The sequence below is a fragment of the Homo sapiens genome, chromosome 6, assembly GCF_000001405.40.
Source record: "Homo sapiens chromosome 6, GRCh38.p14 Primary Assembly".
Taxonomy (NCBI): Eukaryota; Metazoa; Chordata; class Mammalia; order Primates; family Hominidae; genus Homo; species Homo sapiens.
Genome location: NC_000006.12, coordinates 69,231,228 through 69,258,688, shown reverse-complemented (window position 1 = coordinate 69,258,688; position 27,461 = coordinate 69,231,228). Strand labels below are relative to the sequence as shown.

General features: G+C 34.6%; 1 protein-coding gene across 1 annotated transcript in view, besides 2 other annotated features; it reads right to left on the bottom strand.

Moving 5' to 3' along the window:
* ADGRB3 (adhesion G protein-coupled receptor B3) overlaps positions 1 to 27,461 on the bottom strand; it is a 754,225-nt gene that overhangs the window by 130,818 nt on the left and 595,946 nt on the right. The window contains exons 18-20 of the mRNA NM_001704.3: positions 25,273 to 25,399; positions 23,554 to 23,657; positions 19,463 to 19,565 (exon numbers count right to left, since the gene is read on the bottom strand). Coding sequence (NP_001695.2) covers positions 19,463 to 19,565; positions 23,554 to 23,657; positions 25,273 to 25,399 — 334 coding nt within the window. The remainder of the gene's footprint in view (positions 1 to 19,462; positions 19,566 to 23,553; positions 23,658 to 25,272; positions 25,400 to 27,461) is intronic.
* Positions 25,498 to 25,792: a silencer, noted in NCBI's record as "tiled region #3236; HepG2 Repressive DNase matched - State 9:DNaseU, and K562 Repressive non-DNase unmatched - State 12:CtcfO". NCBI's record gives its function as "represses a minimal TATA promoter and a strong SV40 promoter by Sharpr-MPRA in HepG2 and K562 cells {active_cell/tissue: HepG2 | K562}" and the evidence as "EXISTENCE:reporter gene assay evidence [ECO:0000049][PMID:27701403]".
* Positions 25,500 to 25,665: a silencer, noted in NCBI's record as "fragment chr6:69942916-69943081 (GRCh37/hg19 assembly coordinates)". NCBI's record gives its function as "represses an EF-1alpha promoter that drives an FKBP-Casp9 reporter gene in an ReSE screen in HepG2 liver carcinoma cells {active_cell/tissue: HepG2}" and the evidence as "EXISTENCE:reporter gene assay evidence [ECO:0000049][PMID:32094911]".

Here is a 27,461-nt window from a genome sequence, read left to right as displayed (position 1 = left end):
CTCAAATATATTTCCCATTATAAGTCACCCTTTTAAAAATGTTTGTAACATTTCATTGTAAGAATTGAATAATTCCTACTTTGAAGCTCTGGACTATACACCATTTTGTCATTAGAAAAATGGCTGTAAGCCCTAACATTTTAAATACATAAAGGTAATTTATTTCTGCAACGAATTTGCAGTTTTTCCCTTTGCTGAATGCATTAACTGTATCTAGTGTTTTTATAATCAGTACAATTCCCAACCGTTCTTCACTTCTATATACATGTGAATTCAATATGCAGATATTTCTTATGTTGACAAGTCTCTGTCAGTATTCTATGGAAATGACACCAACATTACACATTATTTGTGTCCTTTCCAAGTTCCAAAAACAAAACAGAAATAATCATGGCCAAATGAGATTTTACAGGCATAAAAATCTGCTCCTCTTCATCATTTTCAATCCTGTACCTTGCTAGATTTCCTCTAATCTCTAGGAATTTTTTTCTTTTCTTATAATTCTTCCTACTGACACAAATAGTTGTCATTTTTTTCATCCTTCTCTGCGAATACCATTTCATTTCTGAAAAACAGAGCTTAAAGATATTCGTCTTTATATCGCTAGCTGCAGAGATTTCATTCAAATTCTCCCTTCTTTCCTGACAAATGGGGTCTGGAAGCTTAACAAGGATCCTCTTTATATCTGGACATGAGACTGGGAAAGCTGCGTAAATACACTCCAACAATCTCCACTATAGGATAACAACCACGTTTCTACAAATAGACAGGTCTGCCAACAAGCACTGAGGATACTGTGATGAGCTACACTGCATGATACCCTGAAGAATCTAGTTTTCCCTTGATGTGCATAGCTAAGATCTATTATCACCAAAAGAAATTACAAGTGGGTATCCAGGGGAGAATCTGCACTGAAAACACACTTCTTTCACAAAATTCATGCTATCTCCCTTTGAGACAGTAATGCAGACCAGTCAACTAAATCTTGAAGATGATCAGAAGACAAAATGCAAAATAATTAACTTTTTTCCCCATCCATGTAACGTATTTTTTTCCAATTGTTCTTAGTTGAGTTTATCATCACTTTCTAGCAGTGGAAATAGGTAAACAGGATTTTGTTTACCTCAAACATCATCTTTTTATTTACAGGAAATACAGAGATATTTTATTTACATCAGAGAATACTACAAACACCTCTACGCAAATAAACTAGAAACTCTAGAAGAAATGGATAAATTCCTTGACACATACACTCTCCCAAGACTAAACCAGGAAGAAGTTGAATCTCTGAATAGACCAATAACAGGCTCTGAAATTGTGGCAATAATCAATAGCTTACCAACCAAAAAGAGTCCAGGACCAGATGGATTCACAGCCGAATTCTATCAGAGGTACAAGGAGGAACTGGTACCATTCCTTCTGAAACTATTCCAATCAATAGAAAAAGAGGGAATCCTCCCTAATTCATTTTATGAGGCCAGCATCATTCTGATACCAAAGCTGGGCAGAGACACAACCAAAAAAGAGCATTTTAGACCAATATCCTTGATGAACATTGATGCAAAAATCCTCAATAAAATACTGGCAAACCGAATCCAGCAGCACATCAAAAAGCTTATCCACCGTGATCAAGTGGGCTTCATCCCTGGGATGCAAGGCTGGTTCAAAATACACAAATCAATAAATGTAATCCAGCATATAAACAGAACCAAAGACAAAAACCACATGATTATCTCAATAGATGCAGAAAAGGTCTTTGACAAAATTCAACAACCTTCATGCTAAAAACTCTCAATAAATTAGGTATTGATGGGACATATCTCAAAATAATAACAGCTATCTATGATAAACCCACAGCCAATATCATACAGAATGGGCAAAAACTGGAAGCATTCCCTTTGAAAACTGGCACAAGACAGGGATGCCCTCTCTCACCACTCCTATTCAGCATAGTGTTGGAAGTTCTGGCCAGGGCAATTAGGCAGGAGAAGGAAATAAAGGGTATTCATTTAGGAAAAGAGGCAGTCAAATTGTCCCTGTTTGCAGACGACATGATTGTATATCTAGAAAACCCCATTGTCTCAGCCCAAAATCTCCTTAAGCTGATAAGCAACTTCAGCAAAGTCTCAGGATACAAAATCAATGTACAAAAATCACAAGCATTCTTATACACCAATAACAGACAAACAGAGAGCCAAATCATGAGTGAACGCCCATTCACAATTGCTTCAAAGAGAATAAAATACCTAGGAATCCACCTTACAAGGGACGTGAAGGACCTCTTCAAGGAGAACTACAAACCACTGCTCAAGGAAATCAAAGAGGATACAAACAAATGGAAGAACATTCCATGCTCATGGGTAGGAAGAATCAATATCATGAAAATGGCCATACGGCCCAAGGTAATTTATAGATTCAATGCCATCCCCATCAAGCTACCAATGACTTTCTTCACAGAATTGGAAAAAACTACTTTAAAGTTCATATGGAACCAAAAAAGAGCCCGCATCGCCAAGTCAATCCTAAGCCAAAAGAACAAAGCTGGAGGCATCACGCTACCTGACTTCAAACTATACTACAAGGCTACAGTAACCAAAACAGCATGGTACTGGTACCAAAACAGAGATATAGATCAATGGAACAGAACAGAGCCCTCAGAAATAATGCCGCATATCTACAACTCTCTGATCTTTGACAAACCTGACAAAAACAAGAAATGGGGAAAGGATTCCCTATTTAATAAATGGTGCTGGGAAAACTGGATAGCCATATGTAGAAAGCTGAAACCGGATCCCTTCCTTACACCTTATACAAAAATTAATTCAAGATGGATTAAAGACTTAAACATTAGACCTAAAACCATAAAAACCTTAGAAGAAAACCTAGGCATTACCATTCAGGACATAGGCATGGGCAAGGACTTCATGTCTAAAACACCAAAAGCAATGGCAACAAAAGCCAAAATTGACAAATGGGATCTAATCAAACTAAAGAGCTTCTGCACAGCAAAAGAAACTACCATCAGAGTGAACAGGCAACCCACAAAATGGGAGAAAATTTTTGCAACCTACTCATCTGAAAAAGGGCTAATATCCAGAATCTACAAAGAACTTAAACAAATTTACAAGAAAAAAACAAACAACCCCTCAAAAAGTGGGCAAAGGACATGAACAGACACTTCTCAAGACATTTATGCAGCCAAAAAACACATGAAAAAATGCTCACCATCACTGGACATCAGAGAAATGCAAGTCAAAACCACAATGAGATACCATCTCACACCAGTTAGAATGGCAGTCATTAAAAAGTCAGGAAACAACAGGTGCTGGAGAGGATGTGGAGAAATAGGAACACTTTTACACTGTTGGTGGGACTGTAAACTAGTTCAACCATTGTAGAAGTCAGTGTGGCGATTCCTCAGGGATCTAGAACTAGAAATACCATTTGACCCAGCCATCCCATTACTGGGTATATACCCAAAGGACTCTAACTCATGCTGCTATAAAGACACATGCACACGTATGTTTATTGTGGCACTATTCACAATAGCAAAGACTTGGAACCAACCCAAATGTCCAACAGTGATAGACTGGATTAAGAAAATGTGGCACATATACACCATGGAATACTATGCAGCCATAAAAAATGATGAGTTCATGTCCTTTGTAGGGACATGGATGAAATTGGAAATCATCATTCTCAGTAAACTATCGCAAGAACAAAAAACCAAACACCACATGTTCTCACTCATAGGTGGGAATTGAACAATGAGAACACATGGACACAGGAAGGGGAACATCACACTCTGGGGACTGTTGTGGGGTGGGGGGAGGGGGGAGGGATAGCATTGGGAGATATATCTAATGCTAGATGACGAGTTAGTGGGTGCAGCACACCAGCATGGCACATGTATACATATGTAACTAACCTGCAGATTGTGCACATGTACCCTAAAACTTAAATTATAATAATAAAAAAAAGAAAAAAAAAAGAAATACAAAGGCATTTTTTAAAAATCAGTTCTAATTGAATAAGGAAAGATAATCAATAAGATATATCTAAACATAATTGGAAGATTTATAGCTTCGAGATTTAATGAATAAAGAAAATGCATCATTTTTTCTTGACAGTATAAAAAATAAAAGAAAAAACATAAAGATAGTTATGCTACATACTCATGTTTTCATATCGCTGAAACAGCCTCACAGGGATAAATGAAAAAGTTCTCTAAGAGTAAAACACAAATTATACATAATAGAATCCTTTCTAGTATTGGAAAAAAAAGTAATAGGCATGCTCATGCGATTACTGTGTTAGTAAAAAGGACCAGGCTGTATTAATAACAGATAGGTAAATGTCTTATTTTACGTCTTGAATAATAGCATTTATGTTTGAATTAATAGGCAAAAGAGCAACTGTTTTCAGATATTTTGATGCTGAGCAGTTTAAAAGGGGCTAAATACAGAATACTACCTACTTTTAAAAATCTAATCAGTGAAATTTAAACATAAATGGTTTCTAGACAGAATATTCACTAAAGGCTTTTAAAACTTGCTCTCATTTACTGTAAATAAAGTTAAAGGGTGTTTGCTTGGCATACATTCTGGTCCTTGTGCTCTTTTTAAATTACTTTTTTAATTTCAGAAATATTTTGCTTCCATGTAAAAAGTGTGCCACCAAGCTTCTGACTGCCTGGAAGGGAATATTGCTGCTCATTTCTTAACTTTCTACAAATATTCTATTTGTGCTTAGTCAAAATGGCATGCCCTTCTATATGCCTAAAGAAAAAAATGGCTCATGAGTTTTTGATCTCAGAAATATTTTTGCCCTCATCTGATAATGAACAAGGTGAAGAAATTCAAAGAAAATAAATCAATCTATAATTGCATCCTGTTTGATATATTGAAAATATATAGTACTTTGGAAGGAAAATACTCTGCTTTAGAAAACATATTTAGGAAGCAATCACATAAAATATCCAAAAGACAGAGTATTGAAAGACAATAAGAGCAAGGAAACAACTGCTTGGAGCAGAGTATTTGCCCTAGAGCAGTGCATAGTTCTCTCCATAAACTCCTAATTTCTCTTCAACTCTTCTCTAGTTTAATAATGAGCATTATATAAGAGTCCAAAAGCACTGCAGTTTGGGATGTCCTTTCTTTCTCAGCATCCTCATCTAATTGGTCACAACAACTTAATGATCCTAATGATCTTATTTCAGGAAGCCAATTCATACCCATTGCCATTAGATGATTAATAAGTTATCAAAAGAATATATTGGTCCCTACCTAAATTAACCTGAAGATTCAATCAATATAATACTAAGAAAATTGCAACACACTTTTTTGTATAAAATTGAAAAGTTGATTCTAAAACGTATTTGAATACCCAAAGAACCTAGATTAGACAAATGTAGACAAAATACCTAGATTAAGCAAAATAATATTGGAAAGGAAGAATGAAGTTAGAGAACTCAAGCTCTTTGATTTCCAGAGTTAACACAAAGCTATAGTAGTAAAGATTATGGCATCGACATAAGGAAAGATAGATCACAGAAACAATGGAGAAATCCAGAAACAGATCCACACATACAGTCAACTGATTTTGCAAAGCTACCAAAGCAATTTAATGGGAAAAGGAAATTTTTTGAACAAACAGTACCAGAACAATTGGATATCCATGTAGAATATAATGAACCCCAAGACCTACCTCATATAACACACAAAAATTAATTTTGTTCGAGACATAGATCTACATAAAAGCTAAGATGACAAGGGAAAACTTAGAATATAGATAAGATAATATAGAAAAACATTTTTATGACCTAGAGGAGTAATGAAGATCTTTTATGGTGGAGTCATAAACACAAACTATTTTTTTAAATGATACACTGAACTTCACAAAAATTTCTACTCAGCAAAAGATGCCATTAATGAAGTGTAAACACTAGCTATAGGAAAAATTATAAATTACAAAGGATTTGTATCCAAACAATCTAAATAAAAAAGAGAGAAATGACTTGAACAGACACATCACAATAGAGGATTTAAAATGGCCTATAAGGACATGAAAAGGTGCTAAACTTTATTAGTTATTAGAGGAATGTAAATTAAAATGTTGCCAAGAATATGTAACACTGGAATTATCATAGATTACTGGTAAGAGTACAAAGTGGTATGACCATTTTGGAAAACCATTCAGCAGTTTGTATTTTTTCTTTTAAGTTAAAAGTAATCTAACCTGCCTTTATACCCAACAATTTTACTCCTAGCTTCTTTCCCAGAAGAAATGAAAATACATGTCCATACAAAGATTTTTACAAAAATTTTGAAACAATTTTATTCATAGTAACAAAAAACTAAAAACAATTCATATGTCTATCAATTGGAAACTGGATAAACAAATCATGATATAGTCATACAATAAATAATACTCAGCAATAAAGAATAATTAATCACTAATACATACAACAATATAGTTGCTTCTCAAAGAAAATATATTGAGCAAAAGAGGCCAGAAGAAAAAGTACTCATGCTATGATTTCATTTGTATAAAATCCTGAAACAGAAAAAATGAATTCACGATGACAGGAATCAGAACAACGCTTGCCTATGAGGGGATGGGGATTGACTGGCAGGAGACAAGAGAGAACTTTCTAGGGTGATGACAACGTTCCATATCTTGATCAGGTATTGGTTACATAAGTATATATTGGTCCAACCTCATCATATTATGTATGTAGTGTGCATTTCACTGTATATACATTTAACTTCAATTAGAAAGGGTACAAAATTCCAGTTATGAGACCAATAAGTTCTTGAGATCTAATGTACATCACAGTAACTTAGTTGATAATAATGCATTGCATATTTGAAATTTGCTAAAGGAGTAAATCTGAAGTATCCTGAAAACAATAAACAAAAAGGGTAGCTATGTCAGGTAATGGATATGTTAAGTAACTTGACTGTGGGAATCATTAGAGTATACTTATATCAAAACACTATGTTGTATGTCTGAAATATGTGCATTTTTTTGTTAACTATACTTTAATAAGAAAAAAGTATATTGTGTGCCAGATACTGTCCTAGGTGCAATCCTACTTGATTCTTATAATATCTCCTCCCTACTTCTAGATTTAAAAACAACTGAGGCTTAGATATTTTCTTCATTCACTTAAAAATATTTAATGAGTGTGTGCTATGTGCCAGGCACTGTATTCAGCACTGGTTATACAGTGCAAATCAAACAGATAATGTTCTTTCTCTTCTGGATATTAATTAAAATAAGATTACAAAGTAAAGTAATGGCTGTAAAAAAAAAATGGGTTCCTAGACAGATTAGTGGAAAAACCATGAGAGTGCTCATTTCAGAGGAGTGGGATTTTAGGGAAAGCTTTTCTAAGACGATTGTATTTTATCTGCAGAACATACGTAAGTTAATATAAGTTAACTAGGCTAGCCCAAGGCTGGAAGAAGACTAATAAGGGAGGAATATAAAAAAGTTAGGAGGCAGAGAAAAGAGCTGGATGCTAGGAAAAGCATGTAATTGATGAGACGCTTTTGAAACTGGTCTTGCTAGTAATTGCACCAGGGCAACAGGTACAAACCAGAATAATGGTCACTTGACTAAGGGCTTATTGACCCCTACAACATTTCTAATGGGTGGCCAGTGTGACAGAAATATACAGAAAGAAAAGAGTAATGAATATGAGGCAGTGAGGTGAAAGAAGTACATAGGCCCATGTCATGTTGGGGCTTGTGGGCCATATTATGTGGTTTGGATTTCATTCCAAGTGTAATAATAGAAGCTTCACTTATTTTCACCAAAGGGTTTTAAACAGACATATGTTTAAATCACGATATGATTTATAACTGTAAAAGAACACTAGGCTGGTGAGTGAAGAATGGTTAAGTAACTTGACAAGTGGTGCATGCCCAGGAAGTGGTTGAGCTTAAAGTACTTCAGTTAGAATAAGTGAAGCTTCCATTACACCTGGAATGATGAGTCAGTTTACAGCAGATCCTTCCAGCTCCAAGCAAACCTTGGGTTCCTGTGGCTCCGACACATCTTCATTGCAGTCTCATGAGAGACCCTGAGCCTGAAATGCCCAGCTACATTTCTCCTAAATTCCTGACTTGTAGAAATGGTGAGGATTATAAATATGTTTTGAGCTACTAAGCTTTGAGGTAATTTGTTACATAGCAATAGATAATTGGTACAGATTGTCCTTTTCATTGTAATAAAGGATGCTGTTCTTAGGCATACAGAATTCACCTTTTAGCTTTATTCTGGAGATTTTGAAAATATATAACAAATTTCTAAACAAAGAAATAGGTGGTCTTATTTCTAATAAAAATAAACAAAAATAAGTAAATAAGAAAAGCAGAACTAATTTGTATTTTGTAAAAGCAATACACATCTTTCTATTCATTAGGAAAAATCACCTTAAAATACAGATAGAATTTAATTGGCAACAAAACAGATACAAATAAGATCCATTCAAAACCTTCTGTAGTCCTAATTGCATGTATATACTGATGTATCATCTACCAAAGACACATCTATAGAGATATATGAAAACTATGTGTATTGTAGTTTAACAAAGAACACTTACACAGGCCCTTATCACACATATTAACAAATTAAAATTCTTCTGCTTATGTGTTTACTGTTAAAGCTAGTCATTTCTTCTTCACATTACAATTGAAGTCTTAATCTTTGATTCAATCCACTAGCAGCCTAAGATAACTATAAATATTTTAATTTACTTACTTTGAATTTCATACATCTTAAATTTCATAGTCAAGACCCAGACTCAACTCAGTCATATGCCTAGTTCTTTCTTCAAGGCTTAAGATTTAAAATTAACTGACTAGCTACCACAAAAGAAGTAAAAAATGAACTTTAATCTGCTTATTTTTTTTTATTATAGGCATTAGTGTTTGGACTTTAGTTCCAAGATTTGCCATAGCAATGCTTATGATTTGATATACATAATAACAATCCAAATTTTAGGGTAGGGTGAGATAGGATAGAGGTAGAGAGGTAAAAAGAGAACTCTGTCTATGCATGAATTTGATTGGGAATTAGCTTGACTCTGCCATCTCTATTTTCTGCTTCAGATGTTACTTCTCTGCCCAAGACTGTCAGATGAAAGAGTTTCTCTAATAAGGGCTTTAACAAATACTGCTGTACATTAAGAAGTTTTCTTCTACAAAGCCAGCCAGCTTTGTTGTCTCATGCACTGGGTATTTGTTAGCTACTTTTAACTTCTTCAATTTATAAAATGTCCAGCTTGGTTGTGAGGGATTTGATTCATGGTTTTTTCCATAGTTTTATACACTGGTAACCAATCGGCATCATAAGTGAAGGCATTCTGTGATTAGTTCCAGAGTGCTCCAAAGAAGAAACTCAGCTGGGCGCCGTGGCTCATGCCTGTAATCCTGGCACTTTGGGACGCCAAGGCAGGCAGAACACGAGGTCAGGAGTTCAAGACCAGCCTGACCAACATGGTGAAACTCCATCTCTACTAAAAATACAATAATTAGCCGGGCATGGTGATGCACACCTGTAATCCCAGCTACTCAGGAGGCTAAGGCAGGAGAATTGCTTGAACCCGGGAGGCGGAGGTTTCAGTGAGCCAAGATCGCGCTACTGCACTCCAGCCTGGGCAACAAAGCAAAACTCCATTTCAAAAAAAAGAAAAAGAAGAAGAAGAAATTCAAAGTGTTTTGCACTCCTTTTCATCTTGGCAGAAGCCTTTTCAAAAACTGCCAAGGTCCCTCTGTTCCAGTTCTGCAGGCTACACAGGCTAACCCTTGGGTAGACACGTCAGAACTGGAGGTTATTTTTACATAAAGCATCAGCCCAGAAATAGGCTGGCCTCACCTTACATTGTAGTTGTTCTGTTGGTATGCACATAAGATACTTCTAGAAAGCTCAAAATTGCCTAAGGCTAGGTCCCAGGCCAAATCCAGTCACATCCATTGCTTTATTTCTATAACTGTTTTCTAGCAACAACAGCAGAACTGAATAGATTCAACAGACAGCATATGTCCTACAAAGCCTAAAGTATTTACTATATGGCCCTTTACAACAAAAGTTTGCCAACCTCTGAATTACATTATGGAGCATTTGTCAAAGGAGTTCTCTCCTACAGTCTTCACACCATTCCAATGTCGTACTGAGACAAATTTTACTTTGGTCAACAGATCTTTAGTGATAACTTAAATTCTACTCTCTTCACCTCATATTCACCCTGAGAGACATAGTCTCAAAGTTCATATCATGGGCCATTGAAAATTCTATTGTAATCTTATCTCAAGGGCTTTTCATTTTTTTTGTGAGAATATCTGTAAATTAAAGTAATTCACTTTCTGTGATGTTTATCTAGTACTTCAGTATTTTACATTGTATTAAGAATTCTCATAAACATTATCAGCTATACTCCAACATGATTCTTCTATTGACATTAGCCAAACTTCTGACCAGTTCATATTATGTCCCAAGAAGGGGAAAGATGAAAAATAATACATAGGGAGAAATTTGTAATTTCTCTACTGGTTTGATTTCAGGGGAGAAAAGCAGATATTCTTTAACCTTTCTGTGAGACTCTTGGAAGGACACTCAATTTCTCAAATTCTCTTTTGGATATCTCTGCATAAAGATAAGATCTGATTTAACTCAACCATCTCTCATCAAAGGAGGGTCTCAAAAACATTCTGTAAGTCTTCAGTATTTTCTTCAACTCCCTTATATCATCATAAAATGGCAACAATACAACAATAATAAAAAAAAATTGACCTCCATTATAATTATTCCAAATGGGGCCCCCAAAAATGAAGTGGCTATACTCCTATTATATTATCCCTCATTCAATAGGTATAGCCATAAGTTCATTCATTCATTCAACATTTATTAATTTCACGCCATATATAAAACAAGTACTAGTATTAATGGTTTTTAAATCCAGTAAAAAGAGAGACATACTACCCTTGAGAATCACAATACAGTGAGCAGGGTTGATCAGGAATTGATAACTTATAGAATAAGGTGATTGGTGCTAACAATAGAGGTATGTATCACATGCTATGAAAGCAGAAAGGAGTGTTGTAGGAGCTAAAATGGTTTCATAAGTCCACTCTGAAGTGTGGTAAGAGTTTATCAGACAGAGTAAAAAGCAAGGGCAAAAGCACACAAGCAAGAGGAACTCCCATAGCCATAAGAAAGCTGGAATGCACACAGACACGGTCCCTAGGAGGGAACAGAAAGGGAATGCTGAAATCTAGCTCTTGTTGCCAAGCCAGAAGGCTTGCTAGAGGCTATATCAGTCTGGAGGGAGAGGATGATTTTATAACTCATCCGCATCTGCCCTGAAGGAGTGCCCTTTTTATTTCCCACAAAGTCAACTTAGGTACTTCAGGCAGCCCTGAATGCAGGTGATATGCAGAACATGGAATTAATCTCATAAGCCCTACAGACCCATCATACAGTTTGCAGCAGGGGAATTACGCAATCAGGTATTTCTTTTTCTTTAAATTTAAGATATTTCTCAAAGTGATATGGAGGATGAGCTCATGGAAAGGCTTTAGTTGCAGAGGAAAGTTAGAAGAATGTTATAGTGGTCAAAGTGAGAAATCATGAAGGCCAAGTCTAATGCAGGGGTGGTGGGGATGGAGAGTAGAATTGATCAAGTCATGGAGTTTCTTTGCATTGTCTGGCTTTTGTACAATTCCCTCAGCACAAATGAACAAAAATTAATGAGAGTAGGCCTGACATTCTCAAAGCAATCACCTGCACACTAGGCTGAGACTCGTGTTCTGCTTCTTCCCTGTTGAGTGAGTTCTCACTCTTCAGGAGTTTTGATCGGCTTTGAAGTTGAAGCTAAGAATACTCACTGAATGTCCAAACTGCTTCCTTGTCCCTCAAGGTCATTTGGCTCTTGACATCTCAATCGTTTCAGTAATCCTATTGTCAAGTAATTCCACTTTCATCTTCTTTGCTTGCCCTGAGCCCATCCTTCATATTGATCTTTGCCCTATTTACAATAATGTGGTCTCTGGCTTTTACCACACAAATCTGGAAATGAATAATCAAGGGACTAGGAGGTTATAGTAGGACAACAGAGTCTCTGCTATCTCACTGTCTCTCACTTCACTGGGAATCTGTTTTGGGAAATCATCTTTTATTGCTGGGAGCCTGGGGAAATCAAGAAGCTAGCCAACCATTATGCTCCTTGGTTTGATGAAGGTTTTCAGGAATCCAGAATAACTCTAAGTTAGTAAGATACTTCAAAACGGAACCAAGTTAATTACACATAAGCTTATTACCTTCAAATCATTTTACAAACGTCATAGCAAGTCAACAAATTAGATTTTAATGAATCTAAATAGGTGTTAGCCTCGACCATTAAAATCACACATTCATTTGAGGCATAATAGACTTACACTTGGGACACTATTGGCAGGATATGTCTCCAATGAGAAGAATTGTAACTACGCACATTTCTTTTTAAGGCTATGAACATTATATTCTTATGAAGAAAAAAGATTAACTTTTGCTAGTTTTCAGCATTTCCTTAACTAAAATCCAGGGGCCAGATCACATTTAAAGCATGCCATCAATCACTTAGAGCTAAAACAGGCCCTAGAAAAATAATCTATCACTATTAGCTGAGATCCTGTCTAGGGTGGGGGACTCTACTTTTCGTAAGACTAACAACAGCTATTAGATTCATAGATATAAGCACAAATATATTCAAATTTATTTCATTCATCTAATAATACTTATTATTTACTTACTATACATAGACAATGTGCTTGCAAGAGATTTAATAATGAGTATGACTTAGTCCTGCCCTAAGAAGTGTATAGTCTGATTATAAACAGGTAATATAATACAAGAGAATAGGTATGCACTGGAAATCCTGGAACCCAGAGCAGGTGTGCATAAGCAGGGTTTTCTCTAATGGGAAAACTCATCAGAGTGTCAGAGAATGAGCTTGAGACAAATAAAGACAGGAAGTCAGGTGGGGTTGGGGTGAAGGAACAGTGCCCCAGGATGAAGTATAGCATGAAACAAAAAAAAATAGATTAATTTTGATGAACTATTAGAAGTTTGGTCTTGCTGGTATAACAAAAGTCAGTAAAATAGAAACAGTATGGAGAGGTCAGCATGGGCCATTTTTAAGATCTGCTTTTTCTCAGGTTTTACAAGCTCCAGAAGTTTTTCTCTTGTACGATTTATTCCTGAGTTCCAATATATTATTACAAGAAAAGCAGTGAATAAAAAAATCTTCACAGATAAACAAAATATGCTTCAATGCTTGTGTCTGAGCACAATTTGAAAATTACTTCTGTAGGAAATGAGACAACAATAAATGTTACATAGAGAAATCGAGTGGTCAGATTTGAATTTTTGTTCCATCACGTGGGCTACAGAATAGAGAATGGGATTGATAATACTGTAAGCAGTATGATCAATACCTGATAGAGACAAGAAACTAGATCTGAGAAATATTTGAGGGTTAAATTGTCATAGGTGGATGATTTATTAGATTTACTCCATGAGCGAGAAGGAGACATCAAGGATAACTTCCAGAGTTCTAGCTTATGTAATTGAGTTGGAGACTACAGAAAAGGCATTAAATTTTGCCTCCGAATGCAAAAGACTGGGGTGGAGACAGAAATGGTGAATTTAGTGGTGAGCAGGAAATTGGACATGAGGAAATATGAAGGTATGAAGAGAAGGACAGAATCAGATGTATATCTGGGTGTCATAATTATCTTTGCCATAATTACAGCTACTGTTTAAGTGGTACTTACACTTAAACATACCACTCTCTGGGTTAAGTGCTGATACCAGCCTCTGGGTTAAGTGCTCCATACGTACTAATTCATGTAACTCTGACAACAAGCTTAGGTCTAGAGATGCAGGGTGTCATGCTTAAGATCACACAACTAGGAGAACTGGCAGATTTGGGATATTTAAATCTACCTGGCTTACAATACCTTCTCTTAACCATCCCCATCTGAGACTGATATCTCCCAAAGAAGCATGTAGAACACTGAATCTCTGGGGCAGGGGGCAGTCTGCTTCAAAGGGTATCAGGCAGAACTGAATGGATAGCTGTAAATACATGTTCAATATTTTTTCTCAGAAGTCGAAAACACATAGATATTTAGAGGTCAGGCATGTACATAAATGTGTGCAGAAGCTGGGACTATTGGCAAAAGAAAGTCATGGGACAAATAGTTGAATTAGAGAGTGCTTGACCCAAGTTAAGGTATTCCAATTCGAGGTTTTACTTTTTAAAAAACACAATTCTGACAAAACAAAAAAATCTTCCATTAGAGTGACTATAACCTACTAGTTTGGCCCATGTTTTCTAATTCTCTCTATTCAAACTACAGAACAAAAATATAACATCTTTATAAAAGGTAAATAACCACAAGATGAAGTAGAAGAAAACATAATAGAGAACGGGACTTTTAAAAGTGCTTTAAGACAGAGAATTTTTGTATCTTTTGCAAGTCTGAATTAAAAGACACAGCCCATTATGTAATACAATGCTCCACACATAAAGAACCATGAGACAATTTCCTCCTAAATAATGCTAAGAAAATGTTTGACCACCCCAAATAATTTAGAAACTTCCCTTTATCTATCAATGAGAACTTTTGCTTTACTCCTAGGTCAATTAAGACTCAAGCTAATATCTCTTTGTTCTCTCACAATTGACTAGTAGTTCCCAAAATATTAACATTTGTAGGCTTGTTATAATATCTACAATTTATTTTATAATATTTTGTTATTTTCAGTATGATACTATATATGTGCCAGTTAGTTTAACCTGTAATTCTAGGAGGAGTCCAAGAATGCCCAGACTAGTTGGTCAGTTGGCTTTATATCTAGAAGGCCCATACAGGGCAACTACAGGTCCTTCTTACTGAGGTACATCTAGCCACAATCAACACTTTACTCATTATCAAACTAAATATAAAAGATTAGTCTTTATTGGTGAACTAGTGTCTGGTTAATCACTATAATGAATGTATTAATGGATTCCCTTTGGTGAAAGTAAAGGCATTGAAGATATGTGTATTGGCTAAAACAGTTAAACACTTCTTACTCTTAAATGAACTGTACATAAGATTCCATTGTGGCCTATATCCCATATCTTTTAGCGATGGGGCCCACGGTTTTATCCATAATCATTCTGTGTCCAGACATTGGATTAGGAGGATTTCTGACTGAATGACACTGACTAAAGGTCACAGAATCCTGCTCCTAGAATGTTGCTATGTCCACCTCACTGAATGTTACATACAGGGTGGGTGAAAGTATCTAAAAGGTCAAAGACCTAGGCCCTCATTGAGCTTCCTGAATAGATTTTGTTCCTGATTTGCTAATGAGGGATTATCTAATAAATATCTAAATGTGTGATAAAATTTGGACTTAGACTTGCTTTTTTTTATAACCTGGTAGTGAGCTTGTGAGAGAGAGAAGCTATCTCCCACCACTTTGAACTTCTTGGGTGGTTATCCTTATCTAACCAAAAAACCAAGAGTTTTGCCAGATTTGTCTTCTATCAGTTAAAAAGAGTGCTATGAAATCTTCAATATGATAAATTCTTTAAATCCTTAAAGTCCTTTGAAGCAAAAGCAATACATGCTTTTGTCATTAAGAAAAACTATTCTCTAAATTTATGTTTTCAAAATAATCTTTGCTTTCTGCAAAACAGTAGTACCAAAAATAGTCTACTCAGCTCAACAACAACAACAAAAACACAAATGCATACTTAAAGGTGTAAAGGAAATGCTTTACAAATAAATAACATTTGAGCAATACAAAGACATCCTGGTTGAAAGTTTAAATGCACAAAGAGATAAAAGGGAAATATCACTTTATGAGAAAACTCAAAATATAATGAAGTGGGTTATAATTAAATATTACAACTGCATTTTAAGAAAAGATATAATAAAATGCACTTGGTTCCTTACTTTGTTGCCAGTAATTGAATATACAGTCAAAAAATTTGAATACATTTATTTTATGCAATGGATTATTTCAGCTTGTTTACATTTCAATTCAAAAAGAAGCAGAGATACTCAGTAGCAAGATAATCAGGTCAATTATATTTCAATAAGCAATTCAAAGAAAGGCCCTCATATTACACTTCAAAACTATTCTGTACATCAACATCAGATACCAGCTTTCATACAAACTAGCCATGACAACTCACTGAAGCAGTATCAAATAATTTCTTCATCAAAAAGCTCTCTCGGATGTTTATACTTTCTAAGATGGGAATACTAAAGCATCAATTAAAACTTATCAGGGAAGTCAAAGATACAAATCTGATCAATTAAAAAATCCCCACAGAAGCAAAGGGATCCTATACAAAACCAAAATAAAATACTTTAGTTATTGAACAATATTTTACATTTTCAAAAAATAGTTATTTGTAGTTTATGCACATCATAAGTTTATACAGACAACACACTTTGTACTTTTCTATTTTTTTGAGACACCATTAATCCCAAATACAGTCAAACAGATGTAGCCTTTCACATACCAAATTCTCATATATAAATACAAATAGAGTCCATCTAATTCAACTAATAAAACACAAGATTATTTCCCCTAGAAAATGTGATATTGTTTTGAGTGACTAAGAATAAAATTCCAGTGTTTTGTATTTTTCTCTTCTAATCACTCTAATGTGAATTGTCCCAGGCTTGTAAGAACATCTACTAAGAGCTAGTAAAGCAAAATTAATATAGCATAAGAACAAACTAATAATCTCTTATTTTCTTCATCAATACTACCACTTACCACCCACTCCTCCCCGAATGCATCAATAACTATAGTAGCAAAAATTAGCATTAGTCAATCTGATACAAAACCACTTTGGTTGCAAAACTACATAGAAGCTATTCTGTAGTTAATTACTTGGGGAGAAGCTACATCAAACTCATATTTTGGTAGTAAGTCAATACCAGCCCTTCCTCAAAATAAGAAATGAAAAGTAAACCAAATTCATCTTGTCTTTGATATTCATATTTGCAGATCTTAAAAGACATTATTACAAAACAAAGAGGACATTGAAAACCTGTGAAGGTCAAACTGGGCAGACAGAATGTAGTTTTTTGAGATAATTTTAGTTTCTGAATATAGCTGGCATTTAGACCTACACAACGTCGTAGACACTAGCTGCATGTAGCCATTGGACATTTGAAATGTAGCTAGTTCAAATTAAGATGTATCATAAGTATAAAATATACTCCAGATTCTTAAGACTTAAAAAAGATTGTAAAATATTGTATTAATATTTTATATTATGTCTTAAAATGGTAATATTGTGGATATTCTGAGGTAAATAGTATATATTAAAATTAATTTCATCGGGTTTTTAAATTTTTTTAATGTGGCTACTAATATAATTTAAATTACATATGTGGCTTGTATTTGTGTCTTGCATTGCATTTCTATTGTACATCAGTGATTTAGAGCATAACCACTATGATGTGAAGTACACCTTGTAGAAATGTCTGTAGTACCATTTGGCTCAGAACTTATCAAAACTTTGCCAAGCAGCATGAAACAGTTTTAAAAGCATATTTTGTACTGTGGATCATGCAGTTTTCCTAGTCTAAGGGGAGGTATAACTCAAGAGTGTTTGGAGAGTAAAAAATGGCAGAAAAGGAAGAATGTTTTGTGAAAAAAACTTAAACTCTGAGCTCTAGCTGGCTTTAGCTTGACTTTTTCTGGTTCCTGATCCCAATAAATAATTCCTATTTCAGAGGAAAGCTCTCTTTTTCTGGGTGGAGGTTGAAGGACAAGTAGTTAAAAAATTGGGAATAGGTATTAACCAGTGTATGAACATTTCTAAGAGATCTGAGGCCCAGCCCAAGTGAACAAGCAAAAAGGAAAGAATGACATGAGTAATTTAATAATTCCTTAAGGTTTACGGTCCCATCTCATCCCTTTTATCTCTACTTCCTTCCTATCATTGCCTTTTTGTTTCCCTTTTTCTTTTCACTTACATCCATGTTTACCCTCATTTTTTATTCTGTTGGTCATTTTGTACCTTCTTGTCTCCCAATTCTGATTGGCATCCCTCTCACCTTTAGTCATTCTGTCTCTCTCTTTTTTCTTTACTTTGTATTTCCTTTTAAAATTTGTATTAAATGTTTATAACATGGACCTGAACTATATTTTAATAGTCTTTACTTTCTTTCGGATTCTTTCTTTAAGAAGAAAAGATACAGGAAATAAGTGGAGGAAAATTAAACACTCAAAGACACGAAAGTAATTTTTATTTCTACAGGGCCCTTGATGGGGTTGTCATTTTTGTTTTTCCTTCAGGATTAGTGGCCTACCCCTTGGGCCCTTCCCCTGGCCTAGGGCAATGTGGGCCAAGAAGAAACATTTATCAGAATCACTTAAAGCAGCCTCCTAGGTCCTACCCGGACCTAGAATTGGGCTCTTTTGGTGGAAATCACCAGTCTTAGGAACGTAGGTTAGCAAAATAAACAGACTATCCATTATCCTTGACATTAATACATGTCCTATGAATATATAATACATGAAAAGAACCTATCAAAGTGTATATGATTATTTTAAAATGATGGCTTATGGGAAAATTTTTAATTATTCGCTTTTGTATTTGAAAATTAAAAAAATGAAAAATAACAGGCCTGCAGGCATGTGATCGATTGACAAATAAGTTATCAAAGTGGTGTTTAACAGAATCCTTTTGAGGCAGGGGTAAGTTTACTTCAAATTGCTATTATGGGTTTCTTAAAATACATTTCAGAATAGTAAAGACAATCATTTCTGGGGGAAAAAACATGGTCATTCAACTCATAAATTGGTTCATTCATATAAACAGAAAATACACTTTTCCATTCTGCTAAGTATCAAAATACCTTTAGGTGAAGCAAAAATTTTGAAAGGCATAAAATCTAAAGTAGCTTTCATCTAACACTCTCTTCAATTATTGCCTATGGATATTTTTCAGGTGGATTTTCAAGAGAGATGTTACACTTGTAAGCAATTTATAGTTACCTTTTAGGAATCAATATGTTAATAAATTAGACCAAAACAAAAGCCTTCTATCCTGTTACAATTAGATCTTCTTACAATTAGACTAATGAATCAAAATATGTGCTTTGATGTCCCAAAGCTTTGAACTCATAGAGCTTTGATATAATGTTTAATAAACATACATTTTTACTCTTATGAACAACCTCTCAACCCACAGGGAATTAAATCAAGGGTATACATTCTGAACTGGAATAGACAATGTTTTTATTCATAAACCAATAACAAAATTTTGCTTTAAAATATAATTTTGTCAGAAGTTCTCCATTTTAGAATGAATGTTTAGATTATCAATAACTAACAATATGCCAAAATATAAACACAAAAAAAGAATCAGAATAATTACCAGTCATACCTTATTATGTGTCTGAGTCTGTCCAACCAGTATGAGGATATTGGATGAGATGATAGACAGGCAGAAGTTAATTAGTATTATGGATCTCTCAGAGCGTATGTACCTAGCCAGAGAGAGAAAAGTTACCCAACTTTAAAATCCAACAGAAAGATGAAGAATTATATATTGTGCAAACTGATGGCATTCATCTGGAAAAATAAGTACTGTAGCACAGGAATATTTACAAAAATAAAAAATATAAAAATAGTTTCTAAAATAAAAAATTACTTTTAGAGACCCAATTTTACAGTGGTATGGCATGTGCAAGCGTCCTTTAGAATTTTTTTTTCTTAGACATTGGTGGGACAGTATGGCATTTCTGATAGAGCCTAAGTTGCCCATCTGTTGTCATGATACACTTTTTTTTAACTAAACATATAAAGCTTCTTGGAAATATATCAATTAGTATAATACCTTTATATACGTGTGTGTGTATGTGTGTATGTATGTTTAGCATTATCATATGAATCAACCAATATAAACTTTGAGAACCAAAAAGAAAAAACTCAAATTGTGAAGTATTATTGTTATTTACTAGAAGGATACCATTACTTTCATGAAACTGTGAACACTTTTATCCACTCCAGCATTTGAATGTAATTAGGCTGCTACTCTTTATATTTTTCCTGAATAATTGTTCAAAAAAATGAATCTTTATTTCTAAAAATAAATCCAATCCACAAATGATAATTCACTATTAGGCTGGAAAATCACTTGACATCTGCCATATTTTACCCTTATGAAGAAGTGTTTATATACAGTCTGTTATATAGTTGTTAAGTGCACCAAGAATGTAAGCCATAGAGAAAACTGCTCAGAATCAAATGTTCTACCAGCTGTTTACCCTGAAAGAGTAACAGCTATTTTGCTTCACTGCATTCTGTGGTAAATCACTGAGTGACAGTAACAAAAAGACACTGTTGTATTTGCTGTGTGTTTAGGCCCATTCAATTTGTATTATAACGTGGAATCACATTCCACAGCAGGCATGAGCTTTTCTATGCAGCATTAGACAGGAGTGCCAATGATCTGGAGGCACTCTGGAAGGTAAAAATCTGTCAAACTTCTCTCTGTCTGTCTGTCTCTCTCTCTCCCTGTCTTTGAGGACAATCAAGGTAGAACCCCCACGTTTTATCACACATTTCCAAAAAGAACACAAAAGTAAGAATAACAATAAAATACACAAAGGAGTTTTTGTAATATAAAAAGAAATTCCCTTTGGTCACAAAACAAACTCAAATGGGACTAACTTAGATCAAATCTTAACACAAAATGGCCTCAGGGTTGCTGAACCTTGTTCCTGTATCATCAGTGGCAAACAATATAATAAACCACACACTGAGATGCTGAAGACATCATCAACTATTAATTGTCTCTTTTTTGTGGGTGGGGAATATAATATAAAAAGTTAAGGGGCTTCATAAAATTAACCCTTTGTTTGATGTTAATGGCTTCCATGGAAGCACAAACACACAGATGACATTATGAAAAGGGTTTTAGTGAAACTTTTTGTTCTGTAAATAGACAAAAATATGATAATGAAATATCCAGAATTGACTAGGCTGAAGTTTTTATATGTTTCTATTTTTATCAAAACTGAGCCCTATTGTTGCCTTCATAATTGCTATGAAATGTCTCAATTTTCACAAATTTCTTTACCATGTTAGATTTTTTAAACAAAATTTAAGAATGCTTTATGTTAATACAGTGATGACAAGGACATGCTTCATTATTTTTTCATGTAAAAATGTAACTCTGCCAAACTTATCTATAGGTGAAGAGAATATAACCTAATGTATTAAATTTTTGGTGAACATTTCTGATGAACTACATGCAACGCCACCAAATTTAAAAACAGCCTATTATGTATAAAATACTTGAGATGCTTGTACACATTACAACTCCTTAGAAATCAAAATTTCTAAACTTTTTACTGAGAATAAAAGGTGGTAGGAACCTAACATGCTTATTAGCATACAGTAATATTATACAGTACACAATATATACCCTACATGTATAATGGCATCCTTCTAGTAAGCAAGGATAATACTTCACAATTGTGTGGGGCTTTAAATTTCAGTTCTCGAAGTTTCTATTGGTGTTTCTGTAGGCGCTTATAAACTGCATTTAATTCATCATGTTATCAAGATTCACTTAATAATTCATGGAGTCTTGTCACTTCTTTCAAACTATGAATATTATTTCAATTCTATTTGTAGAGAATGAGTTGATGACCACTAACTTTTAGGGATTTAGATTTGTGTTGTTTCTTGGTACTCTCTTCTGTAATTCTCAAGTTCATCTCAAGTGTTAACAGATCCTTTGAATTGTTTTGGTAATTCTTAGAAAACTATTGTAGTAGTGACTTTCTTGAACTTTCTGCATTAAAGAAAACTTTATTATGGACTAATTAATTGTATGTTTCCTTGATTAAATGTACACATCACCTATCCTGACAATGTATATGCTAGTGTTAGTGATATGTATTGAGGGATAAAGAGAAGGTGGAATTGGTGCCTGAACCCTAAATGCTGATAAAAGGAATTTAGTTTTAAATACTTCAGTGAGCATGAATTATGTTACTATTGTGATTACCAAATTCCTAGTCTTTAAATGCTGCCTAATTTTTGAACAACTGTTATTTAAACAATTGTGGTAGAGGAAGTTGTCTACTTTTCAAATGTTTATCCTTCTTGCTTTTGCATTACTGAGACAATGTCTGCTTGAGTGAGCCCTGAACCCAAGATTCTGCTGCCTACAATGTCATGTTTAAACTAAGCATTTATTTCATTTCCTAGAGCTGGACATATTTTATCAGATTGTCCCACTTTGTCAGTGTCTCTCACTACTAGATAATTCCTTCACCGGAAGGAAGGATTTCTGTCATGTACCAGTGCTAATGGGTCAAGAGATACATAATTTTTACTTTTGTATGAAGCATAAAAACTCTTCATAACTTTGACAATTTAAATATGTGACAATTAATTCTTGCTCTCAAAAGAGTAAAAATTATAATGAAGAACAATACATTTTCTTAAAAGAACAAAGTAAAATGGTCTTTTTAAATAAAATTGTAATTCATTTTTCAACTGAATGTTTTTTATCTTAAGTGAATAAAGATTAAGATTTCTGAGGCAGAAATATCTACTTTTGCAATTCTAATATTACAAACATTCTGAAAATATTAGGTAATTTTCTATATACTAATATAGTTAAAAATATTTAGATTATTTTTCAATAATAAAAGTGGATATAAAAATGTTTAACATTTAAAAATTTAAAAATCCACTAGAAAAATCCAGTACTTTGGCCATATGTCTATATATTTTATCAATATGTGAGTAGACGATAAACTTCACAGGTCTAATTCTTAGTAACACAATCAAAAACAAGTCTTAAAAAATACTAGGCTTTCATATATCAGTAGATGTGATTTCAACTATTGTAGAAAAAAATTTTTCAATAACTTCCCCTTGTTTATGTATTTTTATGACTTCTTTTAATCAATTTGTCAAAGTCTGACTTCTTGGACACACTCAACCAACAGGCATTTTCTGGAATATATTGGTATTATGTTAGTGCTTCAATAGCATAGAAGGGTTCACTAGTTGTCTGGGACATACTGAAAGCATGTGTTTGAAACTTAAGTACTTGAGATCATATTTTTATAACAGATAAATTAATTTGACTGTACCAGTTAGACTCACAGCCTCCATAGCAATTGGGATAAATAGAAACCACAAATAGATTGAACTTGTGGTGTAAGAGTACTATGCTTGGGGTAAGCAACTTGTTGAAGGCTACTAACATTTGAAATGAGAATAAAAGTTTATGTGTGTACTGTTTATTTTCTTAACTCAGGCAAATATACAGGAAAATTAGGTAAACATAATTCATTTATTAAAGCTCAATCACACCAATTATAACTCTGTTGTAAAAATACTGCTTTCAGTAAATTAAGAAGACAGGAGACATTTAATAATTATCACATTCCTTGATTTAACTATGAACAACTAAGCATTGCATTTCAGGTCTATCAATTGATTACTTACCTCCATAATGCTGCATAGACAACTGCTAGGGTAATCAAGGCCAAGCAAGAAAGACCACTGCCTACTATTAGGGTAACTGAAGGTGTGCCAGAGGATTCCATGATCTGTGAATTAAACAAAACAAAAAAGAAACAAATTGGTTTTTAATAAATTAAAATAACTTCTAGACTCAGCAAAGCTAACCTATCACTCAAAAATAGCCTATATAGTTGTTATAGTTACCAGATAGTTACCCATGAATCCACTCTGTTCTTGCATTCTCAACCTCTAAAAATACTAATTGCAGCTTCCCCCTCTCTCCCACTGTGAAGTAATAAAGTCATTAGAGTTTTAAATGGTGGGCTATGGAATATTACATCCTTATAACTTTCGAAAATCAAGACCTTAAAACTACAACTTGGTCAACATTCACATGTTAAATTTTCTCTACCTAAAATTTAAAGCATCACTCATTTTTCTTTAACTAACTGCAGGTTAGTCATTTCACAATATGATTCTTGGTAAAATTTATCTAGATGCTACTATTTACAACTCATTATGTTACCTATATCTGGTATATAGATATTGAAGATTTTTCAAACTTTCTGACTTTTTGACAACTTTATTCTAAGTCAAGTATTCTCACATTTAATTGTACTTGCTTGGCTTCTGAGGATACAGAAGAAAATCAAACGTCAAATTTAAAACCTTCAAGTATATTTTGTGATTTTTTTTCAATGAACAAAATATGTGGAGATAATTATGACAATGCCAGTATCAGTCCCTAAATGCATGACCTTGAAAAATAAGCTTTCTGTCTTTTAAAACATATGTAAAGATTACATGCATTCACTGATCTGGAAGGTTTCTTTCCTTGGACACTTACATGACGTTAATTAATTAAATTTGTTGGTTTTCACATTGTTAACATTGAGAGTTTGAAGGAATACACTTTAAGCGTGTTCTAAAACCTCAAATATGCACATCAAATTGTATTAGTTTTTTGTCATCAAAATTAGTAAGAAGAGTGATGCTTATTTAGGCCAAATGTAGGCAGAATATCACATTTACCTGAATAATAATTGTTCAGCATTCATTCTGAGTTATATTTCCTCAAAATACAATTGATGAGAATATTATTTTTCTTTCAGACAGTTATGTACAGCTGTCTCTTTCAGAAACTATTTTTGAAAAACTATATACTATTAAGGAATAATTTTACAGTTCCTGACAGCCATGCTTTCACAAAAACTTCATTTGATTAACATATATATTTATTTATTTATATTTACATCCAAGGACACTTCCAGAAAACCTGTACTGAAAATATCCAATGCAGATATGCAATGTGTTTCACTATAGTGTCTGGGGTCTTCATTCTACTACTAACAATACCCTCTAAAATTCCCCAGAATATCTTTCCAGCTTTAAAATAAAGGTTAAGTTGACAATTATTTTTATTTGAAAGTTTGCAGCATATTAGTGACATGATTGGACTTCATCCTTGAAACTACACTGCAGAAATTTCAAGTTAGAAGACATAAAATTGAGTAGAATTTAGTTATAGAATACCAACTAGAATTCATTCCACCAAGCTACTATAGCTAAGGAGGAGACGAACCCAATTTTGTACCCTGCAACATTTTCCATTTCCCCATTTAAAATGCAGTTCCCTGGAGAAACACTAGCCACAATATCCCTGTCTTTGCGTTAAAGCCGTGTTTTCCCTTTGTTACTTACTATTTCTCTAGGTTGCTGAGCCAAAATGGCGAAGGTAGAGAGACGATCACATAAGCATTTCGTATGGGATGCATCGGTAAGCACAGTTTTACATCCCTGGGTGGACCACGTTCCCAAAGACTCGTTCCTGCAAAGGGGAGTGAGGGGGGAGGAAATCGGGATAAATACGCCTGATAGCCAAATCCGTAAAGAAGAAAATGCAGTTTAATTGAGAGAGTCGTCTACTGTAATTCCTGTACAGGAAAAAAAAATCTACTTGTTGTTGAACAGGATGTAATTTAGATGCATCTCCAGTAATGCAAAGCGAGAGTGGGAAAAAGCAAGCAGGCGGCGGTGCGGCGTGCAGAGAGCTGTCCAGCGCCGGAGGTGCTGAAACCGGGACTAGCTCTGTCCAGCCCTATGCGAGGAACAGCAGCGGCAGCGGCGGCAGCACGAGCAGCCGCCAGAGCGTTGGCAGCCACTTCCTATGCTCATCGGATTGTTTCAAATACTCAGGGTGTAAAGAGGCTTTTCATATTTTTCTACCAGCTCTGATTCCCGTCCCATATTTTGGACCATAAATGCTGGCTTTTAAAATGCGGATTTCTTTGAAAAGCCTGACTAAAAGGTTACATAGCTTGGATTGGGTGATAGGATCTTCTCTGCTGCTGGTTAGGGATTTTTCCTCCTTTTAGAATAGCTGCTGTGAAAATTTCACCCTGGAAACGGGAAGCAGCAGCAGCGGCATCAGCTGGTTCCGACTCTCATTGCCTTTGCCTGGTATCCAGGGGAGGGGTGGGTTTCAGACCTAAGCTTCCTACTCCACACTTCACTCAGTCCAGCTCGCCTCTGACGTCCTTGACATTTCTTTCCCTCAACTGCTTCTTTGCCCTGGGGCAGAAGCATTAAGCTAACCCCAAGTCCGCTAGAACATTCAGAGGAATAACCCCACCCCAAAGTCCAGTAGGAGTAGGGAAGAGAGCCTGGTTCAATTTTCTCTTTGGTGTAGCCATTTAAAATGCTAAAGCATATGGTTTATTTCCCACCCCAGCAGAACAATAAAAATGGTATCAACCTACGTCTTGTTCGTGGTGGGGGGGATGGGGGAGAACCCTTCCACCCCCAGCAGAACTACACTACAGGAAGAGAGAAAAAGAAAAAAAAAAAATGCTATAGAGCTCAACCAATCAACTTTATTATCATTACACGTGTTCTGTACTGAATGCACCAATTGTCACCTCCCCTCCCCCAGGCATGGAAATTATCCAGCTAGCAAACCTGTATGTGTGTGTGTTTAAATTTCAAACCAAGTTACTATCTGTGTTAAAAATTACTTCAAAACTCTAAGAGAAAAACACATGGCTTGATGTTAATTTTGATATGGTGCTTTTGATTTTGCTTCCTCCATCTCTGAATGCCTGAAGCTATTGGGTTAAATATGCATGCAATTTCAGAGAGATTTCAATGAGACAGGTTTCTTTGTGACAGTTGAACTTCCAAGTTGAGCTACAGAATATAATTCACACCATCCTTTTTTGGTATCTACCAGCAATATATTTTTAATATTCATGATTTGATATCATTAATATTTATGACTTAATATACTCTTAATTACAACTTTTTTGAAGAAGAAAATGCACTGTATTCGAAGAGAGTTAGATAAAAATTCTACCTAACTTTACCCCAATACTTCTAAGTATTGGCCATTTTTGAATGTGTTAGGTCTCTTTTCTTTCTCATAATGTCATGCAACCATGCCAATTTTTTAAAAAAGCAGTTATATTATCAACTGCAACAGTATTAAACTCCAATTCTCCCTAACTGTAGCAGCACATCAATTTACTTCATTAGCTCTCTGTCTCTTATCTTCCTGTGACAAACAGTTAAGGCCAAATGAAAAGCATTTATCTCAGCTGATCAAAATTTAAAGAAGAAAGATACACTTAAGAGAATCTGACATGCTTTAAAACATAACATCTGCATTATTCATACTGGATGGCAGCTTTACTTTAATGCAGTACATATGCTTTCAAGTGGAGTCCAGTACTTACACTTTTCAGTTATGCAGCTATGCCCAATAAATCAATTCAATATCTTAACAAGAAAAATCTTTATGTAAATAAAGTCTCTTATGAGACAAAGTTATATACTTATATCCATGTAATCAGACTTCATTACTCAAGATGATGTTAGCATCAACAAACTTTGAC